General features: G+C 40.7%; 1 protein-coding gene across 35 annotated transcripts in view, besides 2 other annotated features; it reads left to right on the top strand.

Moving 5' to 3' along the window:
• Positions 1-24,997, top strand: part of SORBS2 (sorbin and SH3 domain containing 2) — a 370,850-nt gene that overhangs the window by 136,286 nt on the left and 209,567 nt on the right. For 23 of the 35 annotated variants that reach the window (NM_001394270.1, NM_001394247.1, NM_001394252.1 and 20 more), the window contains exon 1: positions 7,893-8,423. The exons of 10 other annotated variants lie outside the window; for them this stretch is intronic. The gene's annotated coding sequence lies outside the window, so the exon portion shown is untranslated. Of the gene's footprint in view, positions 1-7,892; positions 8,424-8,982; positions 9,150-9,192; positions 9,340-24,997 lie in introns of those variants that run through there. 2 more of the 35 variants (NM_001145671.3, NM_001145672.2) reach the window with 2 other exon arrangements.
• Positions 22,875-23,390: an enhancer, noted in NCBI's record as "OCT4-H3K27ac-H3K4me1 hESC enhancer chr4:186717851-186718366 (GRCh37/hg19 assembly coordinates)". NCBI's record gives its function as "activates a minimal SCP1, AML or CMV promoter by ChIP-STARR-seq in primed H9 embryonic stem cells {active_cell/tissue: H9 hESC(primed)}" and the evidence as "EXISTENCE:reporter gene assay evidence [ECO:0000049][PMID:30033119]".
• Positions 23,391-23,907: an enhancer, noted in NCBI's record as "OCT4-H3K27ac-H3K4me1 hESC enhancer chr4:186717334-186717850 (GRCh37/hg19 assembly coordinates)". NCBI's record gives its function as "activates a minimal SCP1, AML or CMV promoter by ChIP-STARR-seq in primed H9 embryonic stem cells {active_cell/tissue: H9 hESC(primed)}" and the evidence as "EXISTENCE:reporter gene assay evidence [ECO:0000049][PMID:30033119]".

Raw genomic sequence — 24,997 nt, 5'->3', positions numbered from 1 at the left:
CCCAGTGCCGCACCATAAATCAAAGATACAAAATTCAAGATAATACCTAATACCCTTTTATGCTAATTAATGGATTTAATTGCCACAACCGCCCTCAGAATTAGATAATATTATCATCCTTTCTTATGAGGAAACAGAAGCACAAAGAGGTTAGGCAATTTGCATATCACACAGCTAACAAATTGCAGAATATTTGAATCCACACCATTTATTTATTTGTTCCACAGTGAATGAACAAGTATACTTTGAGATATTGATATGAAACCAGTATAAGGAGAGATGGCAATGCTTTGAGTCTGTGCTGAGGAGTTAAGCACAGTGGCTGGATAGGCAAGGACACCCCCAGGCAGGAATGAAGGAAGGGTGCTTCCGCAACCCACCGAGTCAGCCTGGGTGATCCCTGCACTGACAGGTGACCAGCCAGGAATAAAGGCTCACTGACAATGTCCAGAAATGAGATAGTACTTTCTTTGTACCCAGGCTGACATGAGCTGGCAGAGGCAGCTTGTTGTCTATCCACTCCCTATTATCAATTTGTTTCTCAGTAGTAGAACACTGGTTTACCTGGGACCAAAAGGCGTCCGGCTGAAAAGACCACGTTTTTGAGACTTACTTATCACTCAGGATGCAATGAGATATCAGCAGAAGTGCTGGGTGGGAGGTGGGGAAAAGCTCCTTCAAAGAGGCCAACTCAAGCGGAAAATGTGCCCCTTGGCTCTCCCTCTCCTCTTCTTGCCTGGAACATGGACCTGATGGCTGGAGCACAAGTAGCCATTCTGGACCACGAGGATTCTTGAGGATAGAAACCAGTTTCAAAAGATGACAGAACAGAGGGTAGGAGCTAGAGTCCTAATAATCATGAGGCCAATTTTCTACTAGCCTAGAACTCCTTATTTCTCAATCCTTCAAGTGAGAGAAAAATATAGCTCTGTCTCTTGTAAGCCCTGTTATTTGAGCTTTCTCTCCTATGCAGCCAATCCTGATCCTGTGATAAGACTTTCTCATGTGTTACCAAAAATTGAAACACAACTTGAGTTTGCTTCCAATTGTTGGAAGCAAACCATGTCTTTAATGAAGGAAAGATATAGGAAAGAGTCCACATGCCAAGAGAATAATGGGTCCTTCAAGATGCAGGTCAGGTATCAGCTCTCAGATAAATTTTTTAAAATCTACCTTTATGCCTATAGGAAAGTTGGTTGTGGAATGATTTGTCATGCTACTTTAAACCTCACAAGGAATGTTTCTTTTCTTTTTTTTTTTTGAGACAGAGTCTCGCTCTGTCACCCAGGCTGGAGTGCAGTGGCACGATCTCGGCTCACTGCAACCTCCGCCTCCTGGGTTCATGCCATTCTCCTGCCTCAGCCTCCCAAGTAGCTGGGACTACAGGCGCCCACCACCAGGCCCAGCTAATTTTTTGTATTTTTAGTAGAGATAGGGTTTCACCGTGTTAGCCAGGATGGTCTCGATCTCCTGACCTCTCACAAGGAATGTTTCAAATAGTCTTCCTTTGATGCAGGAAATGTCCAGAAGAATGTTCTCAGTTCAAGGCAATGATCTGGCAATTAGGATGCCAGAGTCTGACTTTTAAAAATATAGGCTGCTGGGCACGGTGGCTCATGCCTGTAATCCCAGCACTTTGGGAGGGCAAGGCAGGTGGATCACAAGGTCAGGAGATGGAGACCATCCTGGCTAACATGGTGAAACTCCGTTTCTACTAAAAATACAAAAAATTAGCCTGGTGTGGTGGCGGACACCTGTAATCCCAGCTACTCGGGAGGCTGAGGCAGGAGAATCGCTTGAACCCAGGAGGCGGAGATTGCAGTGAGCCAAGATTGTGCCATTGCACTCCAGCCTGGACGACAGAGCGAGACTCCATCTCAAAAACAAACAAACAAACAAACACATAGGCACTGAATTCTGACCTGGGTAGGCTTAGTAAAATAATTACCATTCTGGGTTATAGCTCCCATCCAATATTCTGCAAGCACGCATAGTTTATTTTTCCTACCTGCACGTGCTGTCACTGTCAGGCCTTTAACTGAACATCTACTATTTCCAGTGCGGATTGGGGATTTTTATTTTTCAACAGTATTTTCCACTTGTTGTTGGACCGTTGGATCCTAAAACGTGTACCTGATTGTATTAATACATCACTTGGGCCCATCTTATTATCTTGACCAATGAATCTTACTGAACATGTATTTCAGAAGCACTTCTAGAAGACACAAGGTGACCCTCTAATTTTCACTTCTTTTGAGATTTGCACATTTGGCAGCTGAGGGCTTTAGCATGATCTTCTTCAGAGTTTACGGAAGCTGCCCAGTTTCACCCAGCACCTTCTAATTTGTTTCAGTGGCTCAGGTGAAACCAGAAGCATTTGTTTTAAAATCCTTCTTGCCAGGTTTTGTTTGCTGAGCCTGGTGCGTTTCGTTACTAATTCAACAATGCCGTGACGGCAGAGCCCAGTGCTTTTTCTGCACTGGGTAGGGTGGCACGTTGCCCGGAAGTACCTGGGGGCCACTGCTGCCACAGGACACAATGCTAAGTGGGAAAGGTCATGGGAGCTACACTCTATTAATGTGGTCAGAGTGCCTCTCCAAGAACAAAGTGTGGCCCCTCACAGGAGCATGAAAGCAGCCAGCCCTCTCTTTCCAGGTCGCTTTTTAAGCTTATCATTATGAAGTATAAACAGTCAAATTCCTTGGGAGCAAGTGCAGCCTTTTCTGTATTGCTTGCAGAATCTCTCCCCACTGCAGGTTTAATAAAAGCCAGGAGTACTTTTCTCTAGCTACAGCAAGATGTATTTATATGTTTGGGACTGGTTAACAGGGCTGTGGGAGGGGGTTAATTGTGGGTGGTTTTTTTTTTCTTTTGTTATTATTGGATAACACCATTATTTTTTCCCCACCTGGTACTGACACATATTAACACACATTTTACGATAAAGTAGTTCCTGTAAGCTGCTGCAATCATAGTCATTTGCAAACCCAAAGCTTGATAAACCTGAAATATTTAAAACAATGTTGTTATTATTAGCCAGTAAAGACCGGGCTCTCCAGACTTAGGACTAGCTGAAACTTCTTCCTGTACCTCTTGCCACATTTTCCTTATTCCTCTTAACCTAGAGAGTATACAGAATTTCTAGGGGGTTCTAGGAACAACTAATGGGCTACACACAGTGTTTTTGTGTTAATAGGTTTGGCTTTCTCTCCAGTTTGTTGAACGGTTTTTTATTGCTGATGTTTACGTTCTTATCATTTGCTCTCTGGCAAGGTTTTGTTCTTCTATAATCATTTTCTCATTTTAAATTCATTTGATAAGTGAATTTCCAAAAACCCTCAACTCTGCTGGGTTTGTTTTGGTTTTGGGCACCTCTGATTTATAAAAGTCATTCTGGATACTGATCAGGGTCATACTTCTTCAGGGGATATGAACGCATTTGATTAGTAGCCTGTGGGTCAGTCTGCTTTCCAGCATATATTTCTTGGGGTTGGAATCATAGAAATAAATCCAATTTGTTTGACTGAGATACTTCAATCCTCCTCCTAAGTCAGTTGTCACATTTCCCATCAATGTCCTATTTTGACATTGTTCACGTCATTGTGAGAGTAACTAAATATGCAAGGTTTTGGAATAACCTTTGGGATATTCTATTTTATTTGTTTTAGGAATTAGAAAATTCAATCTAAGCTTTACAAAAGTCTTTGCTACCTCATAAACCATGCTTCAATTCCAGTCTCTAAGTTAAGTCATATGACGTGTTTCTTTGTTGTGCCAGGGACCAGATCCTTTGGTGGGTCCCAGCTGTGGAGTCTGCAGCAGAAGATGTGACTAGAGAAGAACCTATTGCTTCAAGCAGTGATGATTTTGTTGAATTAAGGAAACAGACTAATAAGGATTTCAAAATACGAACCAGAGGATAAATGGTTTAAGATCAGAATACAGGGAAGCAGTAAATGTAGGGAAATAGCAAACTTGTTTCAAGAAAGTGCAAAATGTTTCCAATACTCTCTACCAGAGTAGCCTCCTCAGAGTAACAGTAATGGTAGTAATCACTTTAGTTACTCCATAACTTATTAACTTCTTTAGTTTCAACTCTGATAAATAGTTATGTCTTCATCAACTAATCTTAACCTTAACTCTGTGTCTATTCTAAACACTATTTTTATTCTCATTTTATTTCATTTTTTAAAACTTTGTATCTTGAAAACAAATCAAACTTATAGAAAAGTGCAAAGAATAGTAAAATAAACTGAAAATATTCTCATTTAAGATTCATCAGGTGTTAGCATTTTGCACATTTGTGTTTGCCTTCCATAGATGATACACAGATGATAGATAGGTAGATTGATTGATGTGTAGGTGTGCATACGGTATAACTTAAAATAGAAGCTAGATAGATAGATAGCTCTCTCTCTCTCTCCATATATATGTGTGTGCGTATACTATTAGAGCATATATATGTGTGTGTATATGTATTCTTTGATGATAATATATTTGTTTGAAAATCCTTCTAAACAAATATTTGTCTTAGAAAATCATATTATGGTGTGGTATTCTACGCTTTCATACTGAACATAATTTCTGAATGGAGATTTTCACACACATTCTGTATTTTCATTTCATAATAAAAACCAAAACAACTAGCAGTGTGAATTATAGGGTTCCCTTTATATGTTAGTGGATATCTTAATAACCTTTAATAATATAACAAATTTAATTATAATGTTTAAATATATATAAAAAATACCTTTATGACCACGTTGTTTAAAATTCCACACTAAGACAACAATCTCAATAGAGAAAACAGGCAAAAGCTATGAACAGAAAATTTACAGAAGAGGGAACCCTGAAAACCATCAACAATGAAAAGATGTTCAATTTGTCAGTAATTAGAGAAACACACATTCAAACAATAATGGGCCATTACTCTGCACCTATTATATTAGCAAAATTTTAAAACTAGATAATGCCAAGTGTCCTTGTCATAGCTGATTGGACCAAGGCACAGGGCAGCCCATGTATAAAGCTGCTGGCCACATAGGTGGTATCTCACTTGACTCAGAAAGATGGGCTGGAAAAATCAGATTTGTCTCTTGGAAATCTGTATCTAGCACATTTTAAAACAAACACGTTTGGAAGGAGAATAAACGTCAGGGACCTGGGCTAGGGCAGGGCCTGAGGTCAGAGCAATGCCAATGGGCCTCAGTGCACCAAGTTACAAGGGAGGGGCTTCGAGCAGGCGAAGGAGCCAAGAGCCTTGGAAGAACAGACTGGCAGCAGAGTGATGTGTGAAGGCCAGTAGAGATGCCGGGAGACGTGCCACGGGGCAAAGAGGGGAAAGGGATTCATCTCAGTTCCTGCCAGCTTCCCAGTTCCGGTTCAGTGCAAACTGGGGGACTTCCAGTTCTCTTTGGAGGAGCAGGAATTGGAGGTATAGGGGAGGAGGAGATACAAGAAGAAGGATGAAGGCCTTTGAAATTCCAAAGGAAAATGACTTCAGATATTTGTTTGTTTGTTTGTTTGTTTGTTTTGCTACTAAAAACAGAGACAGAGTCTCCCTCTGTTGCCAAGCTGGAATGCAGTCATGTGATCACAGCTCACTGCAGCCTCGACCTCCCAGGCTCAAACATTCCTCCTTCCTCAGCCTCCCGAGTAGCTGGGACCACAGGCGTGCACCACCATGCCTGGCTAATTGTTTGTTTGTTTGATTTTTTTTTTTTTTGTAGAGATGCAGTCTGTTGCCTAGACTGGTCTCAAATCCTGGGCTCAAGTGATCCACCTGCCTCAGCCTCCCAAAGTGCTGGGAATAAAGGTGTGAGCCACGGCCAGAGATTCTTATGCCTTGCCAACCAATCAATCAAGTGTGAGGGTATAAAGACATTTTCAGAGATACAATGAAAAGAAAAGCCACCCTAAAACATCAAGTGCACCTAGAGTTTTCTTGATATCCTTTTGTAACATGCCAGCATTTTGTCAAAATCACTGAAGTTCTTCTGAAGTGATGAGTCAACAAATGTGTGATGTTGAAAAGTAAATTAAAACACAGATTTCACACCAGCCAGTCATCAGTCCCTATTCATACAGTGTCGTAGGTCCTCATTTAGAGGCATTGAGAAATTAGAATATTCCAAGCATGGAGGGCAAAGAAGACATGGACCAGATTGGCTTCCAGAGAGTTGATAGAACAGTCTGGGAGTCAGACATAAAAGGAGAACTGCTAAGAAGTCCCAGGGCGTGACAAGGCCTGTAATAGCAGAGGTGGACCCCGGTACAGGGGAGTCGCAGAAGAGGTCGCTCAGACCCCACCTGGGAGAGTCATGAGTGAGGTGGTCCATTTGGGCCAGGTGTTGGAAGATAAAAGAGGAGGCAGATTGGGATGGAGGTTAAAGGTGCTGGGGCGAGGAGCAGTCAGATTGAGAAGGTTTTTAATAGTAGCAGCATCTGCAGGGCAAGGAAATGGTGTGTAATGCAGGATTCTGAAACGTGGGCAGTGAATAGTAGAATGGGAGGCTGAGGGCGAAGGCAGGGGCACGCTCAGCAACAGCAAATGCAAAATAACTTCAGGGAAGGGAACTTCAGTGAGAAAAGGTAGGCTGGCTGGAGGCGATCTGAAGCGGTGAGGACTCTCCCAAGCAGGAAAGCGCCACCCACTTGTCCTCCATGGATACGCTGACCCTGGGTGGCTCAGACCTACCTAATGTGAATCCGGTTGGGGAGGAAGGGGAGCGGGCATCCCCAAATCTACATCCACAGGATTCCTATGCAGTCAAAATTTGGGAATTAATACTGAAGGCAGGAGTGTTAACATGGGTAGGGAAACGCAATACTGACGGAATCCTAAATCAATGACTACTTAGCAAATAGAACATCTATATTTACAAGTCCAAAGTGTTAACATAACTATTTGAAACAGATTGCTAGAAACAAAAATAAATGGGACAGTGCCTTGGAAATATATCAGATAGAATATGACTGGTGATAGAGTCCTGAAAAAGAAGAAAAGCCTGGGGGTTCTGCAGAAGATTTACGTTGTTCATGGCATTAATCATGGTAGATTCCCAGAGGAGGTGAAATGTTATGGACGGGTGGAATGTGATCCATTTTACTGAGGAAGTAAAACTATTCTTGCCTTGAAGGTAATGTTTAAAGTCAAAGAATTTTTAATTAGGTGCGGATTTTTTAAAAAGAATTTTTAATTTACAAATAAGATTGAGTTAAAGAATCATTTTCTGCCGTAGAAGCAATAGGATTTTTTAAAAATTCTATTTTAAATTGCATAAAAAGCATCTTAAAGTAATCAGATAAGTTGAGCCATAAGTAAATGGATATTTAAAGATCTTATTAAAATAGTCTACCTGATTTAGTTATTATTCTGACCCTATATAGCAATTCACAGGGTTTTGTTTCAATTAAGTGGCTCTAAGATTATCATTTAAAAACAAAAAGTGTAACTCTCCCGTTTGCAGCTCTCTGCACTCATTCTATGACTGGAAGGTGGGGCTTGTTTTGACAATGCTTCCAGTTAGGGTCTCTTAAGTGATTTGCATGTTATTAACCTGGATAGCCACTAATAGGGCTTCACTTCCTCGATTTCATACATAGCCCCGGCTCATATAAAAAAGAGTTCTTCAGGAGAGCAGAAAAATCGGAGCACTTGCACTATCGGTGAAATGTGTAGAAAGATAACAGAAGCTACCCTCCTCAAAAAAATGATGAGTTTGATGAAAAGAAATTAACAAGCTGTGTGAGTGTGCTGCACATGATCAGCCATGCTTGCTAAGTCTGTCTGTTGGTTGTTGCTATGGCTACGAAAAGCCAGTGGAACCCAATGAGCTGTCTGCAGCAGAGCTGAGAGGACCAGCCATTTTACTTATGGAAAACAGTGTGGCATATTCTGCTGAGCTTCGCCCTGGAAGAAGCCTCTTTTATACATCTCTTCAGGGAAGAGAGAAGCAATGGGCATGTTAGTATACAATGATCACAGCCACGCAGGCCTGCAAGCTGCCTTTTGGACAGGCTGTTGACTGCCGTTCCAATTAGCTGATTGGAGAATGTGGAATGCAGAGTGATAATGCTGCATATCTGCTATCAGGCAGCAGCAAAGGTTTTTGTCTTGGGAAGGCAAGCTTTCCCTGCAATATTATCTCAGCAGCTCCCTAGCTGCTTACCCTGAAAACGAGGGATCCAAACGGAGGGTGTTGCACTCTGCTAACGCTGGTCCTGTGCGTGGCTGTGGCATATGAGCGGCAGGTCTGAAAAAGCAGGTGTGTGCTGGGACGGGCACTGGACTGGAACGCAGGCGGACGCTCTCGGGTTTACCTGCTTCCTGTTAACAGATTGTGGGCTCCCAGGGCATATGTCTGCACGCTGAGGCCGAGGCGGAGAAGGGGCTTCCTGAGCGTCCCAGTACACTGACAGAGGTAAGCTTTTTTGACCTTTTTGAAAGCACAGCATAAAAATAACTGGGGCAAAACTTAGCCTGAAAGATTTACGTTGATTGTGTGATTTGGATTTACCAAACAAACATACACAGACACATACACACACGCATACACACACATTTCTAGAAAATAGTATCAGAGACATAGAGTTGTTTCAGTGAATTTTGGTTCTAGCAATTGGAAGATAAAAAACATGACCGATATGCTTTGGGGTTTTAAAACCAATATTTACTGTTTGAGCAGACTACGATGGCTTGTTCTGAACCGTCCTCACAGCCAACAACATTTCTCGCTTGTGAACAATGGATTCTTTCGTGACCTGCACTTTGACTTGTATTCAGAGAACTACATGAAAAAGAACTACATGAGAAGCATTTCTTTTTAAGCCTCGTAAATGATTTATTTAACTCTTAACACAGCTATGTACACACTTAAATTGAAGAATTCTGTTCTCTATGTGGGTCATAATAGCCAGTGGATTTTGTACTTGCTTACCCTGGACTGAGTGTCTTGGTGTCCTGTTTGATTTAGTTGGGGTAGTTGTAAAGCAAACAGTGTAGGTATTGGAAGCCGTTCACACCTCCTTTCCGAGTATCTGCATGCCTTGCTGGCCCAGAGCACAAGACCCCCATTGTGCTCCCCCGGCTCAGAATCCAAGGAAAGAAAGGAAGCGAAGCCTCTGCATTGAGTTCTAGGACAGCTGAGGTATGTGGCAGTAAAACTTCTTTTCTTGCACAATTTTTCTCACAAGCAGATAGGTTTCAGAGATAAAGAGTGAAACCAAAAACACCGCACACCTCATCCAAATCTGCGCTCATACTTGCAGCAAATGTTTGCTGTCAGTTGCTTCATAATAACAGCACAGACCCCGAATTGCAGGAGGAATTGCCTGGTAGTGAGTATTTCCTTGATTTATAGTCTCTTAGGAACAAAGCTGTTACTGTGGATTGAAACTGGTCAGTCAAATCAAAATCCCTGGTAAGAAAATGACGGAGTAAGGATTAGATTCTGGTTCAGCAACATTTCAGCTTTACTCAAGTCAGTTCTTTGGTTGTTTTGTTACCAAAAATGTCAGATCACTTATAATACTATTGAAAATATTTAATAAAAATGTTTGGTCAAAAACTTTGAACAAAACCCCTATCTACAAAAGATGGAATCTACTGTGAAATTTAAAATAAGTAGTAACTGAGATCTACTTCTAAGAAGTATATTTTTATTTGCTACCTTTTTCCTCCAAAATCTGGATGACATGAGTCTCTTCAGAATTTTAAGTATAATTTTCACTGATAGATATGGGCAGGAACCGCCTGTTTCAGAGATGTAGCAATGTTCATAAGCCCTAAGATAAGAGAATGCTAAAGCAGTAGGAGAATAGTTTTCCAAACTTTTGTTCTAAATGTCAAAATAGTCAAAATATAAAGATAGAGACTAAGAATCTCAGTGGAGCCAAACATGTGCAAACGTTTGGTGATAAGTGTACGCCTATGCGGGTTGTAGGGGATAAAATGGTGAGGTGACGGCCTTGTACTTCATTATGTTTAACATTCAAAGGAAAGCTAAATGAACAGACTTAGTTCTGAGTCCAATTCTATGAGCAAAAATATCAGCTAAGTAAGGGATTCTATATGAGCTGAATGAAAGGTAGAGAAAATCTCTCTCCAATTTAATTTCCTTCAAAGCTTTACACTGCCAAAGGATTTCTTAGAATTGACACAGTGCAAAGACCTGCAGCAAGCACCTGATTTCCTATTAATTTTTCTTGGGGGAGCTTTTAGAAGAATGAGGTGTAGAAATATCCAGGGCACACCCGACTGCTGTGCCTGTTGCATTGATAGTGGCACCAAGTGAGACAAGACCCTTAGCCCACGGGAGGAATGGCACACACTTTATACCTGTGCAAGTTCTTTCCTATTTTAGTAACCTTTTAAGATGACATGCTATACACAGATGACCATTTTAAGTTCAATTCTGTACAGCGCATCTCCATAGTTAATAATTCAACAATTTTGAGAACCAGGTTCAGAGACATAATCTCTATCCTTCAAGACTTTGCACTTTCGCTTATGGCTATTTTTAGACCCTTATTTTCTGCCACTTTCCAACTCTTCTGCTGGCAATATCAAATATTTTGGAATTTCCAAAACATACTATATCAGATTTTTTTTTTTTTTTTTTTTTTTTTTTGCAAATGCAGTGCCCCCTGAAGAGTCATTTCCTTTAAATCTCCCCTGCAAGGACAGCTGCTTTCATACGCCCTTCAAGTCCAGCTAGACATCCCCCCTCACTGTCCCCCACCCTGCTTGGCTACATCTGAATCTTACTTCTGACTTTCTGTCTGCTGAACCATATTGCATTTGTCCCTGTTCACAGCCTTCCAGAGCTTTGCTGGCCTCTGATTCTAAAGTACTTTGTCCAGTGTCCAGAATTTTGCATTCAGACATTGTACTGGTAACCTCAGACTTCAATATTTTCCTATTAGTTACTGTAAATATAGACTTGACCTAGAAATAGAAGTCCTAATACTGCCTTTTATCAAGGAAACTTAAAACATTTGAAAAACAACAATGAGGCTTTCATTTTTCTGATTTGAAAATATGGCTTCAGGATCCCAATTTCATAAAAGCTACAACTGTCCTATAATAAATCCAAATTTCCCGAGGGAAAATTTTACAATGTATGTTTTAAACAAAACAACTTGAATGTTTTAGTATATAAATAATACTATTTTTCTATCCATGGCTATTATAAAATGTATAGAAAATATCCCTATTACAAATTTGTTATGGAATCAGACTGTTTAAAACTAATGTTGAGTTGATGATGATTAGTAGCCGATTATAATGTAAGACACTTATGAAGTTGTTTTTCTTGCTGAAACCAGAAGAAAGTAAAGGTCGTGAACTGGAAAGAGATTAAATAATTGAAATGAAGTCTACAATGGCAGCATTTCTTTTAATGTTCCTAAGTAAACCTAAAAGGTGACTGGAAATCACTAGTTACGTTACACTAGTTATGTTACCCTACAACTTGAGTACCTGGGTAAGGGAGAGAATATTCTCTTAGAATCACTCTTGATATAGATATAGGTTTGTTTACAGAGACTTCCTACCCTCTGTTCTATATTAGATAACATTATTAGTATTTTTTAAATAAGCCTGATTTCAGTAGCCTTTTTATGAAAAAACTGCCACAATCAAAAATAAGAATGTACCCATAGTTTTATTAAGAAGTTATAAATACATAATTCCTTGTCTTTAAGATATCTGTGTTGAAAGCAAAAGTTCTAATTAATACTGTATGAATTTTTGTATATAAAGTAGAATTGATGAGGAAGTTTAAAATATCCTGATATTTGGGATTAGAAAGTAAAATATTTAGGAAATTATTTAAATTCATATTTCTTGACATTATTGCATTCATTCCAGCATTGAGTTTTCTAATAAAAGTAAGATAAATAGCAATTCTTAATTATCATGCTGTCCTTTAAAGCTTATTTTGGCTATCTTCCAGCTGATTTTAATGTACAGCATGCTATAATTAAATAATAGCTAAAGTTGGAATTGGTTCTATTCATCTTAAAGACTAATCATGTTTAATTATTTTAAATTGCATATAGTAATTAGATTTCAGAAACCATGATTTTGTAATATGCCTGTACTGTTTCTAACATTTTCTATTTTAAGTCATTTATAATATTTTTAAAGGTCTCAGTTATGTCTAACTACATGGATAGCATAATGAAATGAGTTGCACTTGTATTTTATAAAGAAGACTTGTGATATATGATTGCATTAGATAATTTTCTGGAAGTTCCTCAAACTAACAATTTAATTATGGATATGCCTGTTAAATCCTAAACTGCCACTGTCACGTGGAAAAATACAGATAAATATGTTTTCAAAATATGTTTTTCTGTATTATTTCTGAAAAACTCAAGACATGGACATGCAGTTAAAAGGAAACACTTCTGCAACTGTTGAGTTCTGAGTATTGGCAAATAAGAACTCACGTTTCAGCTTAAGTTCAATTAAGATGATATTTGCTGAATAAATGACGGGGAACCAGCAAAGACGGGTTTTTACTTTGGTGTTTGCAGCATAACAGATCCATATGGAACTCCACCACACTTCACTGCACCTTGGTCTTCAAAACGGAAATATACTAGTTTACCAAGTAGGAATTTTGGCCAAAAAAGCAGTGGTTTCCTCTTCCCTATACAGGTGAGGTAGACATAAATTCAGCATTAAATTCTGTACCTTAGAGAAGCATTATTTGAGCAAAAATTCAGAAAGCTTTCACTTTCCTGAATCCAATCAAGGGTCTTACTTTCAAAGATTTTCCCACCTCAAAAAAACAAAAACACAATAAAAAAGAAAGAAAACAAAAAGGCCTGGTAATGTTCTCATTATATTTTCTAATTTCTCTTTATATATTCATATTATAATTTAGGGAAACTTATTTTTAACAAAGAACATTATCTGAAAGTTTCGGTGATATTTTGTTTTTTTCTGTTCATTTATACGGTTGCCTACTTATTAAATTTTTGATTTTTTAAATTTAATCAGAAATTCAGTTTTTCTCTCTTCCCTCTGAGATGTTTTCCCAGTGGTTAAAGTAAATTACAAGTCTTATAATGAATTATATCCTCTGCTTTGAATGGGAGAGTTCATCCAATCCATTGTTAGAAATAGTTCTTCTTTTCAGGTTCCTTGTCCTAGTACATTTTTTCTGGAATAGTTGAATTTGAGGACAGGGGCAACATAAACCCGTCAGGCTCCAAATCTTCTGATGTTCTATTCAATTCAGCATCCCTCAGAGACTAATATAGCTGCAAGGATTAGCCGCAAGGAGTCCAACAAACTATAGCAAAAACAGGATTCTAGGCCGGGCGCGGTGGCTCACGCCTGTAATCCCAGCACTTTGGGAGGCCGAGGCGGGCGGATCACGAGGTCAGGAGATCGAGACCATCCCGGCTAAAACGGTGAAACCCCGTCTCTACTAAAAAATACAAAAAATTAGCCGGGCGTAGTGGCGGGCGCCTGTAGTCCCAGCTACTCGGGAGGCTGAGGCAGGAGAATGGCGTGAACCCGGGAGGAGGAGCTTGCAGTGAGCCGAGATCCCGCCACTGCACTCCAGCCTGGGCGACAGAGCGAGACTCCGTCTCAAAAAAAAAAAAAAAAAAAAAAAAAAAAAAAAAAAAAAATAGGATTCTAGCCAAGAGCTGTGCCACTCGTGAAGATCCTCTAAGAGTACAAGCATGGGATGCCATGAAGAATGGCAAGTGTTTTAAATGCACAGAAAGAAAAACATATTCAAATGAGATTTTGGCTATGTTGGAGAAAATTTATTAGTATAAATATTCATTCTAGTCTCCTCTAAACAGAAGTCCCTGTACTTACTTCTCGCTGAGGACAGCCAGCTTCTCAGAGGCACTGAGTCCTCTGAAGAGGTAACACCACAGAGGCAGCAGCCTGGCTGGTGGAAATGTGCTTCATTAAGCCTTCGGCTGCATGGAGAATCCTCTTCCACCTATTGAGAGGAGTCAGCGACTTCTGCCTCACTGGGTCTTTTTAATACCAGATATTTATACTTCATACAGGTTGCCTACACTTTATGCTACTAAACAACAAAAGTTTAAGAGAGCAACGCTTGGCTGCTTAAAAATGAGCCTTTTTGGTAGATTATCAAGATGCCTTCACACCCAATTATTTCAGTTCTCTGTGCTAAAGTTAACGAGGGAAAGGAGATTAGATAACAATAACCTCAGCTGTTGTTGTGCTATAACTGTGTCATCTGGTGAAGGGTTTGAGCACTTTCCAAAACGCGTGCATTTAACCCGTCAGACGTATTCTTGCACTATAGTAAATACTACATATTTTAGTTTGCTCAATATCTCAAAATCTAGGTTTCAAAATTTTTATAGCATAGTATTACTAGTAGTTAAGATGAAAATTGTATAACTGCTTGGTTGCTCTGCTACAGTGTGAATAGACCGGTGTTGTTGGATGGACCTAGAGCGCCAGGCTTAAACCAGTTTACGCAAAGGGAGGTCAGGAGAGTGGTGAATGGCAAGAGAATGGAAAAAGGTACAGGTTACTTCTGCAGAATAAAAGTTACAGGGAAAACTTGACTCGCTTTAGAATGGCAGCCGGAACAGAGAGGCCCTCAGCAAACAGGTCAACATACTGCATATTCAGTCAGTATTTGCTGAATGAATGAACGGCTTACAGCAATCAGATCTTCCCCGGTGTTGTGCTAATGCCAACACATGATTAGAAAGTGCTCTTTGAATCTACAGATAAAGTGACAATTCAGACATTTTTCTGATTTTTTAAAAATCAGAAAACAAAGGAGAAGAAAAAACACATGAAAATTTAAAAAGGCTATTATTAAACATATATATATATATAGTCTTCCTGGTGAGAAGCATTATACTTTAACAATTATATAAGACAGAAATATTACCAGAAGCATAGATAAAGCTCAAATGCAACACATCATATGGTGAATAATTCAGAAGATAAGAAAAACTGATTTCTAATCTCAATTTTTTTAAAGCCTCTTGGTACAGTCACATTCATCAAGAAATATAATCAACCTAAAGAGTTAAAATTTTCTTTTGTAAAATAAAAAAGAATAAGAAAGAAAAGTTTAAATCCAGAGTTATAAAATTGAAGATCTTCATTTTAAGGCTTTAGAATATAGTTGAACAGAGAGTTCAAGACAGAAAGAGGTATCAGTCTGGGAAGACCTTTTCAAGTTAAAAAAAACCATAGAAGCTGCAAGACCTTACACAGTCAATCAAAATATCTGCTTCTGATTTAACTCAAGAAAACAATAGAAACCTATTAACTAGTATTCAGTCAACTACGCAAAAGATTATTCAAAAAATGTTCAATTTGTTCACTCCAAAAGATATTGATAATAATAATAATTTATATAGATTTCACTCTGTACTTGCTACCATCCCAAGAGTTTTATGCATATTAACTTTTAATGAAAAATCTGGAAAATCACAAAATCTATAAGTATAATACCAAATACTAAAAAGTAGGGACTTTTAAGGACGTTTACATTGGAATTTCTCAGAAACATTTTCTGCAATCTTAAATTATTTCCCAAAGAGGGATTTAACATTGAATCGCTTTGTCTTAGATGCGCCGATACCACTTTACATGTTGTATTATTTTTATATCATGTTAATGAAGTGTTTTGACGTGTCCAGTCTTTCCATGTGAAAGTGACCTCCACGAGAGAGCAGTCTTGTTTACGTGTTTTTACCCACCATCTTGCCATGTCCACTACCAAGAGTGAACGAAGGATGGCTGAGTAACTAGGCCAAGTCGGTTATTGTAACAAATAAAATTCACACCCAAGGAAAGGGACCTGCTGAAAGCAAGGTAACCTGCGTGTGGTTCCATGTGACTTTCATCAGGAGAAAACTGATCTGGTCTACATATCTTTAAATGTTTGTTTTGTTATGGGTTTTTTGTTTGTTTGTTTTTGGTCAGTATGCTTTTTGGGTAAAACACTAAGCTAAGTATCAAAGCAATCCTTTTTAAGTCATCGAGACTTTTTCAACGGAGGAAACATGACGCAACCAAAAATGATTTGGCTCATTTAAACCACTTGTAGAATTTTTCCTCCGAATTTAACCTTCTGAGCAACTTAACTACATATGAGTTATGTCTGACAGTTAAGAAAATAATAAAAATATGAGAAGGCACACTTATCTTCTTTGTCAGAGAAACCATATCTGTTTTGGGAGAAGGGCTGTCTTAGGGCAGTAACTCAGATGACTGATAATATATCCTGAATTCTTTCACACTCACTTTATTTAGAAACATAACTTTTTATATGATATGTGTTCTGAAATCCGATTATATCACTCACTGACTTCCTTTCCACCATAGATTTAATTTTACAGGACTAATATAACTCATTTATATAATGATTAATATGGCTTTTTTAATTAAAAAAATCTTCCTTCTAAAGTGTGCCAAGGATTTTGACTACATTTTCAATTAATTTTTAGATTTATTGGCAGAAGAGCAGAATTACCATCACCCTTATGTTGTAAAAGTAAATGACAATCAAAGCCATAAATAATATAGTTTAGTTTGAAAAACCACCTTCCTGTTGACCCGAAGTCCCAAATGTCCTGTCAGTGCTTTATATTGACGGTTATCTGGTAAAATGATTGGATCTATGTATTATTATGTGGCATAATATTACATCATAATGATTTCGAACCCTAAGCTTGTGCTTCCTTTGAAGATCGAATTAGGAAAACATACCCTTAAAACGGTGCCTCACTTTTTTTTGGCTCTGGTATTTAATTTTGCAACTGTCAGGAACAAAGAGATTATGATCAGAAAATTATGTTTCCTGGGGAATGTTCTGTTAATGAATTGCCTCATTCCCAGGCTCCTCAGTCATGGTATTGCATTCTGCCTTTAGCCCAGCCTGTGAGAAGAGGTGCTGGGTTTGCATGGTGCAGAAAAGGCCTGAGAGGAGGAGAGAACAGGAGCGTAAGGATAGGACCCAGAAGGACTCTGGCCCTCTAAGTATTTGTTACCAATGGGATCACTGAACCACTAGAGCTTTTGAGTTCAGTAGGAATTAGGAAAAGTGTTGCCTTGAAATTTAAATGTTTCTGCTTCCAACCAAAAGCAAAGCATTGGAGAAATCTGCATGCACTCTCGCTAACCCCTCAGAGAGTGAAAGAGTATTTTATCTGGTCAACAAAACAGAATGGCCTCTTGTTGATTGACATGGAGAAATATCACCCGTTTAAAGGTCAGATTATTAATTTGTCAGTGCATTCTCTTGGGAAATAAAATCAGAATTTCATCTGGCAAGTGTCATGACAGGTGACACATGATTTTTAAGACTATCACCAAAAAACTATATCTGCCCAATATACAGATCAGTACCATGAGTTCCTAAGTGCCAAGTGGCCCACAGTATCTGGAGTTTCCCCTCCTGGTAGATGGGCTTGAGCAGGCAATGATGAGTTCTCTGCTCTCCTCTTCCAGACCTTGAAGACTGTTGTCCCATTTGTTAGTATGTTAGTGTAAGTTAGCTGATTGTATTCTTTCTAATTTGTTTGGTATTGAAAAGATGGCCTTGATAGGGAACGTGGAGAGCGAGAAAGACCTAAGTTCTGGGTACAACTTAACAAGTGGTCAGACCCAACTGTGGATGTCGAAGTTGTAACTGTATATTAAAAAAATCATACTTGCATTTTCATATAATTTACTCATTCATTTATTATACATCCATCAAGGACCGGAGGAAAAGATGAGAGAATAAGCCAGGAAGCCATTGAAAGAGCTTACAATTTAGTGCAGGAAGACAGGAACGCTAGTTACTGTAATTTAAGATAGAAGGTGATGGAGTGCTATAAGGCAGATATAATCAATGCATTTATTTATTCCTTCAAAAGACATGCGCAGAAGTAACTTATACAATAAAGAAACTCTTTGATCGTCTTAAGCAATGGAGTTCCAGAAGATGATAATAAATTGCTCAGAGAATTGAAGTTTGTTAGAGGATCGGGAAAGATGGATTAGAGAAAATGGTATTTTAATTGGGGCTCGAACAAGGTGGGATTTTGACAATAGTGTGGAAAAGCAAGCTTTGTAGCATCAAGAATTGTTTTATACCACTCACATGTATTTGGCACCCCCTCAGTGCTTTCATGTAAATTGTTGAGTCTGGCTCAACAGCCCTGGGAGGTATGCACTATCATCACTGTTTCACATGAGAAAAGAAGAAACTGAGGCTCAGGGAAGTGCTCATTGGGTTTTACCTGTTACGAGTCAGTGGCCAACTTTGAGATGAACTTTTTGAAAAGAACTTTGTTCTTGACAGTTGCTAAAGTGCTGAGATTAAAGCACATGGAAAGATTAAGAAATGTGTTTACAACTCAAGAGCATCACACACAGAGAGAGAGAGAGAGAGAGAGAGATGATTCAGTTAAAAAATGGGCAAAGGGCCAGCATAGATAGTTTTCCAAAGAAGACATACAAATGGCAAACAGACGTATGGAAACGTGCTCAACATCACTAAGCATCATGGAAAGGCAAGTCAAAACCACAGTGAGACACCACCTCACACCTGTTAGGATGGCTATCACCAAAAAGTCAAAAGATAACGAGTGTTGGTGAGGATGTGGAGAAAAGGGAACCCTTGTAAGCTGTTGATGGGAATGTAAATTGGTACAGACATTGTAAAAAATTGTGCAGAGTTTCCTCAAAAATTACAACCAGAACTACCATATGATCTAGCAACTCCACTTCTGGATATACATACAAAGGAAAGGAATAAATATGGAAACAACCTAAGGACCTGTCCATGGATGAATGGATAAAGAAAATGTGGTGTATATACACACAATGGGATATTATTCAGCCCTAAAAAAGAAGAAAATCCTGCCATTTGCAACAGCATACATATGAGGACATTATGGTAAGTGAAACAAGTCAGACAGAGAAAGACAAATACTGTACAATCTCACTTATATGTGGAGTCTAAATGTTGAACTCATAGAAACAGAGTCGAATGGTGGTTGCCAGGAATTGGTGGGGGGAGGAAAATGAGGTCAAAGGGCACAGACTTTCAGTTATAGGACAAATAAGTTCTGAGGATCTCATGCAGCGTGGTGACTGTAGTGAATAAAACCACATTGCACACTTGCAGCTTGCTAGGGGAGTAGATCCAAATGTTCTTACCATCCACAAAAAAGATAAGAAGTGATCACTAACTTGATTGTGGTGATCAGTGCACAGTGCATGCCTGTATCAAAGCAGCCCGTGGTTCACCTTAAATGTCTGCAGCTTTGTCAATTATACCTCAATACATCTAGGGAGAAAATGGAGTATGCTTTTAAGGGTATGGAAGCAACAGGTACAATTAGGAAATAAAAGGATGGAGGGGGCCCAGCTAAGACAGCAGGAAGAAAAGAGGAGAGAGGGAGAGAAATGAAGAAAGAGCTAAGCCCATGCACAGCCCTGGGGAAGGCACCAGCAGCAGAGAAGAAAGCTGCAAGGGAAGCAGGGCTACCCCAGGGGCAAGATCCCAGGGAGGACAGCAAAGAGATAGGCCCAGGGACCGAGGACAGCCCAGCTCACAGAGGGGAGACTGTGACCTCTGGGACACTGGAATGAATTGAGCAAGTGAGCTCCACTCCTGAGAGCCAGAAGGACAGTCAGGGAAGTTCCCAGCGGACGCCCAGGAACGGCACTGACTCACACTCTCCTCCTTCATACGCTGGGTCTGAAAGTCAAAGACTCATTTAAAATTATTACTATAAATCTCTATGACTTAGAAAGTCTGACGCAGGTGAGATTTCTTGGATTCAGTCTTTTTCATTGAGGGGAATATGTTATAGGGTGATTGCTAGTGGTTAGAAGCATGGACTTTTTGTATTTTTTGTGTTTTGAGATGGAGTCTTGCTCTGTCATCCAGGCTGAAGTGCAGTGGCATGATCTTGGCTCACTGCAACCTCTGCCTCCCCAGGTTCAAGCAATTCTCCTGCCTCAGCCTCCTGAGCAGCTAGGATTACAGGCGTGCACCACCATGCTCAGCTAATAGTATTTTTAGCAGAGACGGGTTTCACCATGTTGGCCAGGCTGGTCTCGAACTCCTGGCCTTAAGTGATCCGTCTGCCTCAGCCTCCCAAAGTGATGGGATTATAGGAGTGAGCCACTGCACCTAGAAACATGGACTTTGGACTCACACATTGTCGGGTGGGAGTTCTGGTTTAGAAAGCCGATTGCAGTGAAGTAAGCCGAGGTACGAAACCCTCTATGCCACAGTTCCCTCATCTAAATGAGTGTCGCCATAGTCCCAGGCATTAAAGGCACGTGTGTTGGATGTTGATGAGAGCACTGCATCTGACGCAAAGAAGGTCTCACAGACGTCAGCCACTACTGGTGTTGGTTGTTCCTGGGAGTTTATAGAAAGACTCTCTTCCAAATTCCTGTGCTCTAGTTACTCATCTCTAAGTAAACTCTGGAGTCTTGAGAAGCCAGGTACATGTGTAGTTTAAGGGATGGGCGGCTGCTTCTGCCACTCTTCAGGGAGATCTAGGCACCACTACAATTCGTGTGAAGTGTAAGTCTCAGCGACCTCAGCGGGACTCTAATGCTCGTCCTACCATTTGCAGTGTTTGATCTGTGGTGTTAAAAGACTCAGGCTTCTCCTTTTACATAGTATTTGTTAGAAAACTTCCCACTACCCGGTTTGCTACCACTATAGCCAATGTCACTGGGCATCTCACGATTCTCTGTAGCTGTTACAACAGCATCAATAGGTTCTCTAAAATGCAGACAATGGAAAGGAGTTGCTAAATTTGTCAAACTTTAAGTGAATCTCATGCTTATTTTTTTGGTATGTTAGGTGGCTCTTCTTGGTGGAAGGCTCACAACCTGTAACTGACTCCAGAGCTTCTGCTTACCAATTCCAGAAAACTAGGTTTAGAGTATTTCCTCTGAGCATTCCTTCATGTGCTTTTATGAGGCTAAGTCTCCTTCCCTATATCCAAGATGGATACTTCGGGAAGGTAACATGTTCTAGTTCTCAAATTGATGTCAGTACATTTATGTTACTTTCTTCTCTATTTTTGGAGCAGTGAGGGAATAATGGGAATTTATACAAATAAAGCACATGAGTATTTCAAGTTCAAAAAAGAAGACAGGCTTCTGGGTGGATCAGGCCAGTGGGCAGATGGTGATGCTGTTAACCAAAATGGGAATGGAGAAGACCTGTTTTGCTTTGCTTTTGATATCAGGGCAAAAACGTTTAGACATGTAGAACTTTATATCTTTGCTGGAAACACTGGTAGGCAGTGAGCAGTGCTGTTCTGGGTAGCAGAAAGAATGGGGCAAATCAGGGCCTCACATGTAGCCTAATTCAAGATATGGACTGATGGTTGCATACAGCTTAATTAAGCATATATACTAGCTTTCGAGACGCTTTTTTCTGATAAGAACATGTTTAATTAATAAGACTATGATGATGTATTTTAAGTCACTCTGCAAAGAAAGATCCACTTTTTTTAAAAACGAGGCTTTTTAAAAAGCTATTAAGTGTAGTTGCTAAGTACACTTAGGTTAAATGTTGAAACTGCCTCCACGAGTTTTTTCTGCTTGTCACACGTGAATTTTAAAAGCAACTCATAATCTTTTTTTCTTTGTTTAAAACGGTAATACAGGATTTGACTGGCCTAAATGTCATTATCAGGAAGAAATAATGCAAGTTAAAAAACCCAGGATATTGGGCCAATTTTAGTGATTTTATAGAGTTTGATATTGAGCAAAAGTTATTTATTTTATGTTGAAGTTGTTAGAATCACAAGTTTATTCTGGAAAAAATAAATAAGGATTAAGATGATACATTATCCTAAAGAGTGGTGGGAGGATTGAATGGATTATGTATTCTAATTGTGTAGGGTGAGGTCTGGCATGTGGGAGATGCTAAACAAATGTGAGCAGGCATTACTATCATTCTTGGTGTATGCATGAGTTCATGTAAAAGGCACACACCGTGCACCTCTGATTCTCCAGGCTGCGTATGTTCAGTGGTGACTAGTCGACTTGCTACTCTTGGTGACTGTTCAGTCTTTGGGATGAGGGAGGGGAAACTGATAATCCCGCAGCATCACAAGTGCCGAGGCAGAAGGAAGGCACAGAGTAGAGTGTGACTGACCCTTCTAGGCAACTTCAGTGTGTGCATGGTGAAGGCAGGGGCATTAGATGGAGAAAGCATTGTCTGCAGGTGAACATGGTGTGAAAGCACATTGCAGGCTGGATGGTGCGTCTGGAATGTAGGAACAGTAGGGAGAACCGGGCGTGGGGTGGTGTGGGGGCATGGAAGAGCTTTGCAGTCACATAAAGTTGGAATTCATTCCCAGCTCTGTAGTGCTAACTTGGTCTTGGGGAACAGGCTCCTGGGCTTTTCCTGACCCCTATTTCCCTACTTAGGGGGAAGAGATAATAGCACTTACATCTGAGTATTATCATTAGGATTAAATGAGATTACTGCAAAATGACCGGCATAGCGCCTGGCACGTCAGAGGCAGAATGAATGGCCACCCATGCCTATTTTTGTCATCAGCATCAGGATCATCATCATGTTAAGTAGTTTGGGTTAATTCTTTAGGGAAAGAAAAAGAGAGAAAGAGAGAGAACCATTGGAGCTTCTTTACAGAGGAAAAGTAATGATCATATTTGTGGGTGAAAAATATATAACTGGTAACAGTATCAAATTAAATGAAGGGCACAAGAAAAGATTACGAAATGATAGTGTCGATGAATTCGACAAGAGGAAAACTTGGGCATGAACTAAGGTGACGGGGCCGGGAGAAATGAGCGAGGGATGTAATCAGTCAAGCCCTGCTCTGTGTCAGTCGCTCTCCTAAGTGTCTGGAACGCATCTGAAACAGTGTCTGCCAAACAGTCTTCGGCACAGACAGCTCTACTCGAGTGTGGTCCTGCGTTGCTAGAGGCGCATGGGATGCATAGAGTGAGGGAAATCTGGGGGTACCCGTGGCTTGTGGAGGAGCCTCTGAGGTTTCTCTGAAGAAGTGCGTGAGGTGGGGCCTAAGAATATGTCCACATTCGCTCTGGAAGCTGCCCAGCCCCACTGTGACCAGGGAATAATAGCGTGGCCACAGAGCCCAGGCATGCCCAGCCCTACCGTGACCAGGGAACAGCGTGGCCACAGCGCCCAGGCATGCCCAGCCTCACCGTGACCAGGGAACAGCGTGGCCACAGAGCCCAGGCATGCCCAGCCCCACCGTGACCAGGGAACAGCGTGGCCACAGAGCCCAGGCATGCCCAGCCCCACCGTGACCAGGGAACAGCGTGGCCACAGAGCCCAGGCATGCCCAGCCCCACCGTGACCAGGGAACAGCGTGGCCACAGAGCCCAGGCATGCCCAGCCCCACCGTGACCAGGGAACAGCGTGGCCACAGAGCCCAGGCATGCCCAGCCCCACCGTGACCAGGGAACAGCGTGGCCACAGCGCCCAGGCATGCCCAGCCCCACCGTGACCAGGGAACAGCGTGGCCACAGCGCCCAGGCATGCCCAGCCCCACCGTGACCAGGGAACAGCGTGGCCACAGCGCCCAGGCATGCCCAGCCTCACCGTGACCAGGGAGCAGCGTGGCCACAGCGCCCAGGCATGGAGCGATGGATTTCATATAAATCTGCAGGGCCCTGGGAGCCATTGGTATGGCTGGAATGCAGGATGCCCGATATGGAGAGATAGTGAGTAAAATCGAGCAAGCAGACCAGAGCCAGATGGCAGGGCAACTGTGAGACATTTCAAGCAGGAAGGTGAAATAGGATTTCCTTTATAAGATAGTTTCTCTGTTGTGAGAGCACCACTGAGGTAGGGTGGGAATGAATTCAAGAATTTCACATAGGGCCAGGTGGGGTGGCTCATGCCTGTTAATCCCAACACTTTCAGAGGCAGAGGCAGGAGGATTACTTGAGCCCAGTAGTTTGAGACCACCCTGGGCAACACAGTGAGATCCCATCTCTACAAGAAAATTTAAAAAAAATAAGGGAATTTCCTGTAGGAGGACAGTACAGTAATCCAGGAAGAAAAGATGAATGGCTCAGCTGAGACAGGACAGTAGGGCTGGGGGAAAAGTGCTGGCGTGGAGAGATTATGGAGACAGAACCAACAGTTCTCAGCTGGCATTTGGGAGTAGAAGCAGGCTATGGTTTAATCACCAGGTTTCTGTCTTGGGAAAACAAGACATGGAAAAAGTGTTTTGGGGGAAGAAGATAGTGAAACTGGTTTGAGACTTTCTGAGATGGAGATATAGGTGGAACACTTAGGTGGATATGTGGTTTTAAAAAAAATGTCTAGACCAATAGAAATATATTGAGCAGCAAAGAGAAGCCACCTATGTAATTTTTAATGTTCTATCAGCCACATTTTAAAAAGTAAAAGGAAACAGATGACACCAACTTTTATAATATTTTTAACCTAGTACAGCCAAAATATGATTTCAACAAGTATAAAAAATAGTAATGATTTCCTTGACATTCTTTTTTTTCGCATCTTGTGTGTATTTTGCAGGATAACACATCTCAGTGCAAGCAAGGCAGGTGCCCGGGAGCCACATGTAGCCCGTGGTTGCCATGTAGACCTTCAGAGAGAGGCTGGGCAGGAGGTGTCTGCTGGGGATGGACTAGGATAAAAACCTTCTCTGAAGGTACAGATCAAAGATTGCTGAGGCAGGGAGGGTGCAGCAGAGGTGAGCTTGTCCCAGTGGCAGGAGAGAGGAAGGAATTGCCGAAGCTGCCCCGACCTCTTTCTTCTATTTTTGAGGGTGTAGGATGTGAGATTGGAGTCTCAGAAACTTTGGAAACTTTGTTTATCTCTGTTGAAATTTACCCAACAAGAATCTGCTATATAAATTTGCAGGGCCCAGCGCAAGATGAAAAGGCAATTCCAAAAGTATGATGAATAAGTTATAGATGATGACAGCAGGGTATCAAACAGAACACCTGGCCGTTCTAAGCACAGGG

The sequence above is a fragment of the Homo sapiens genome, chromosome 4 (genome assembly GCF_000001405.40).
Source record: "Homo sapiens chromosome 4, GRCh38.p14 Primary Assembly".
Lineage (NCBI taxonomy): Eukaryota > Metazoa > Chordata > Mammalia > Primates > Hominidae > Homo > Homo sapiens.
This window is presented reverse-complemented; position numbering and strand designations above follow the sequence as displayed.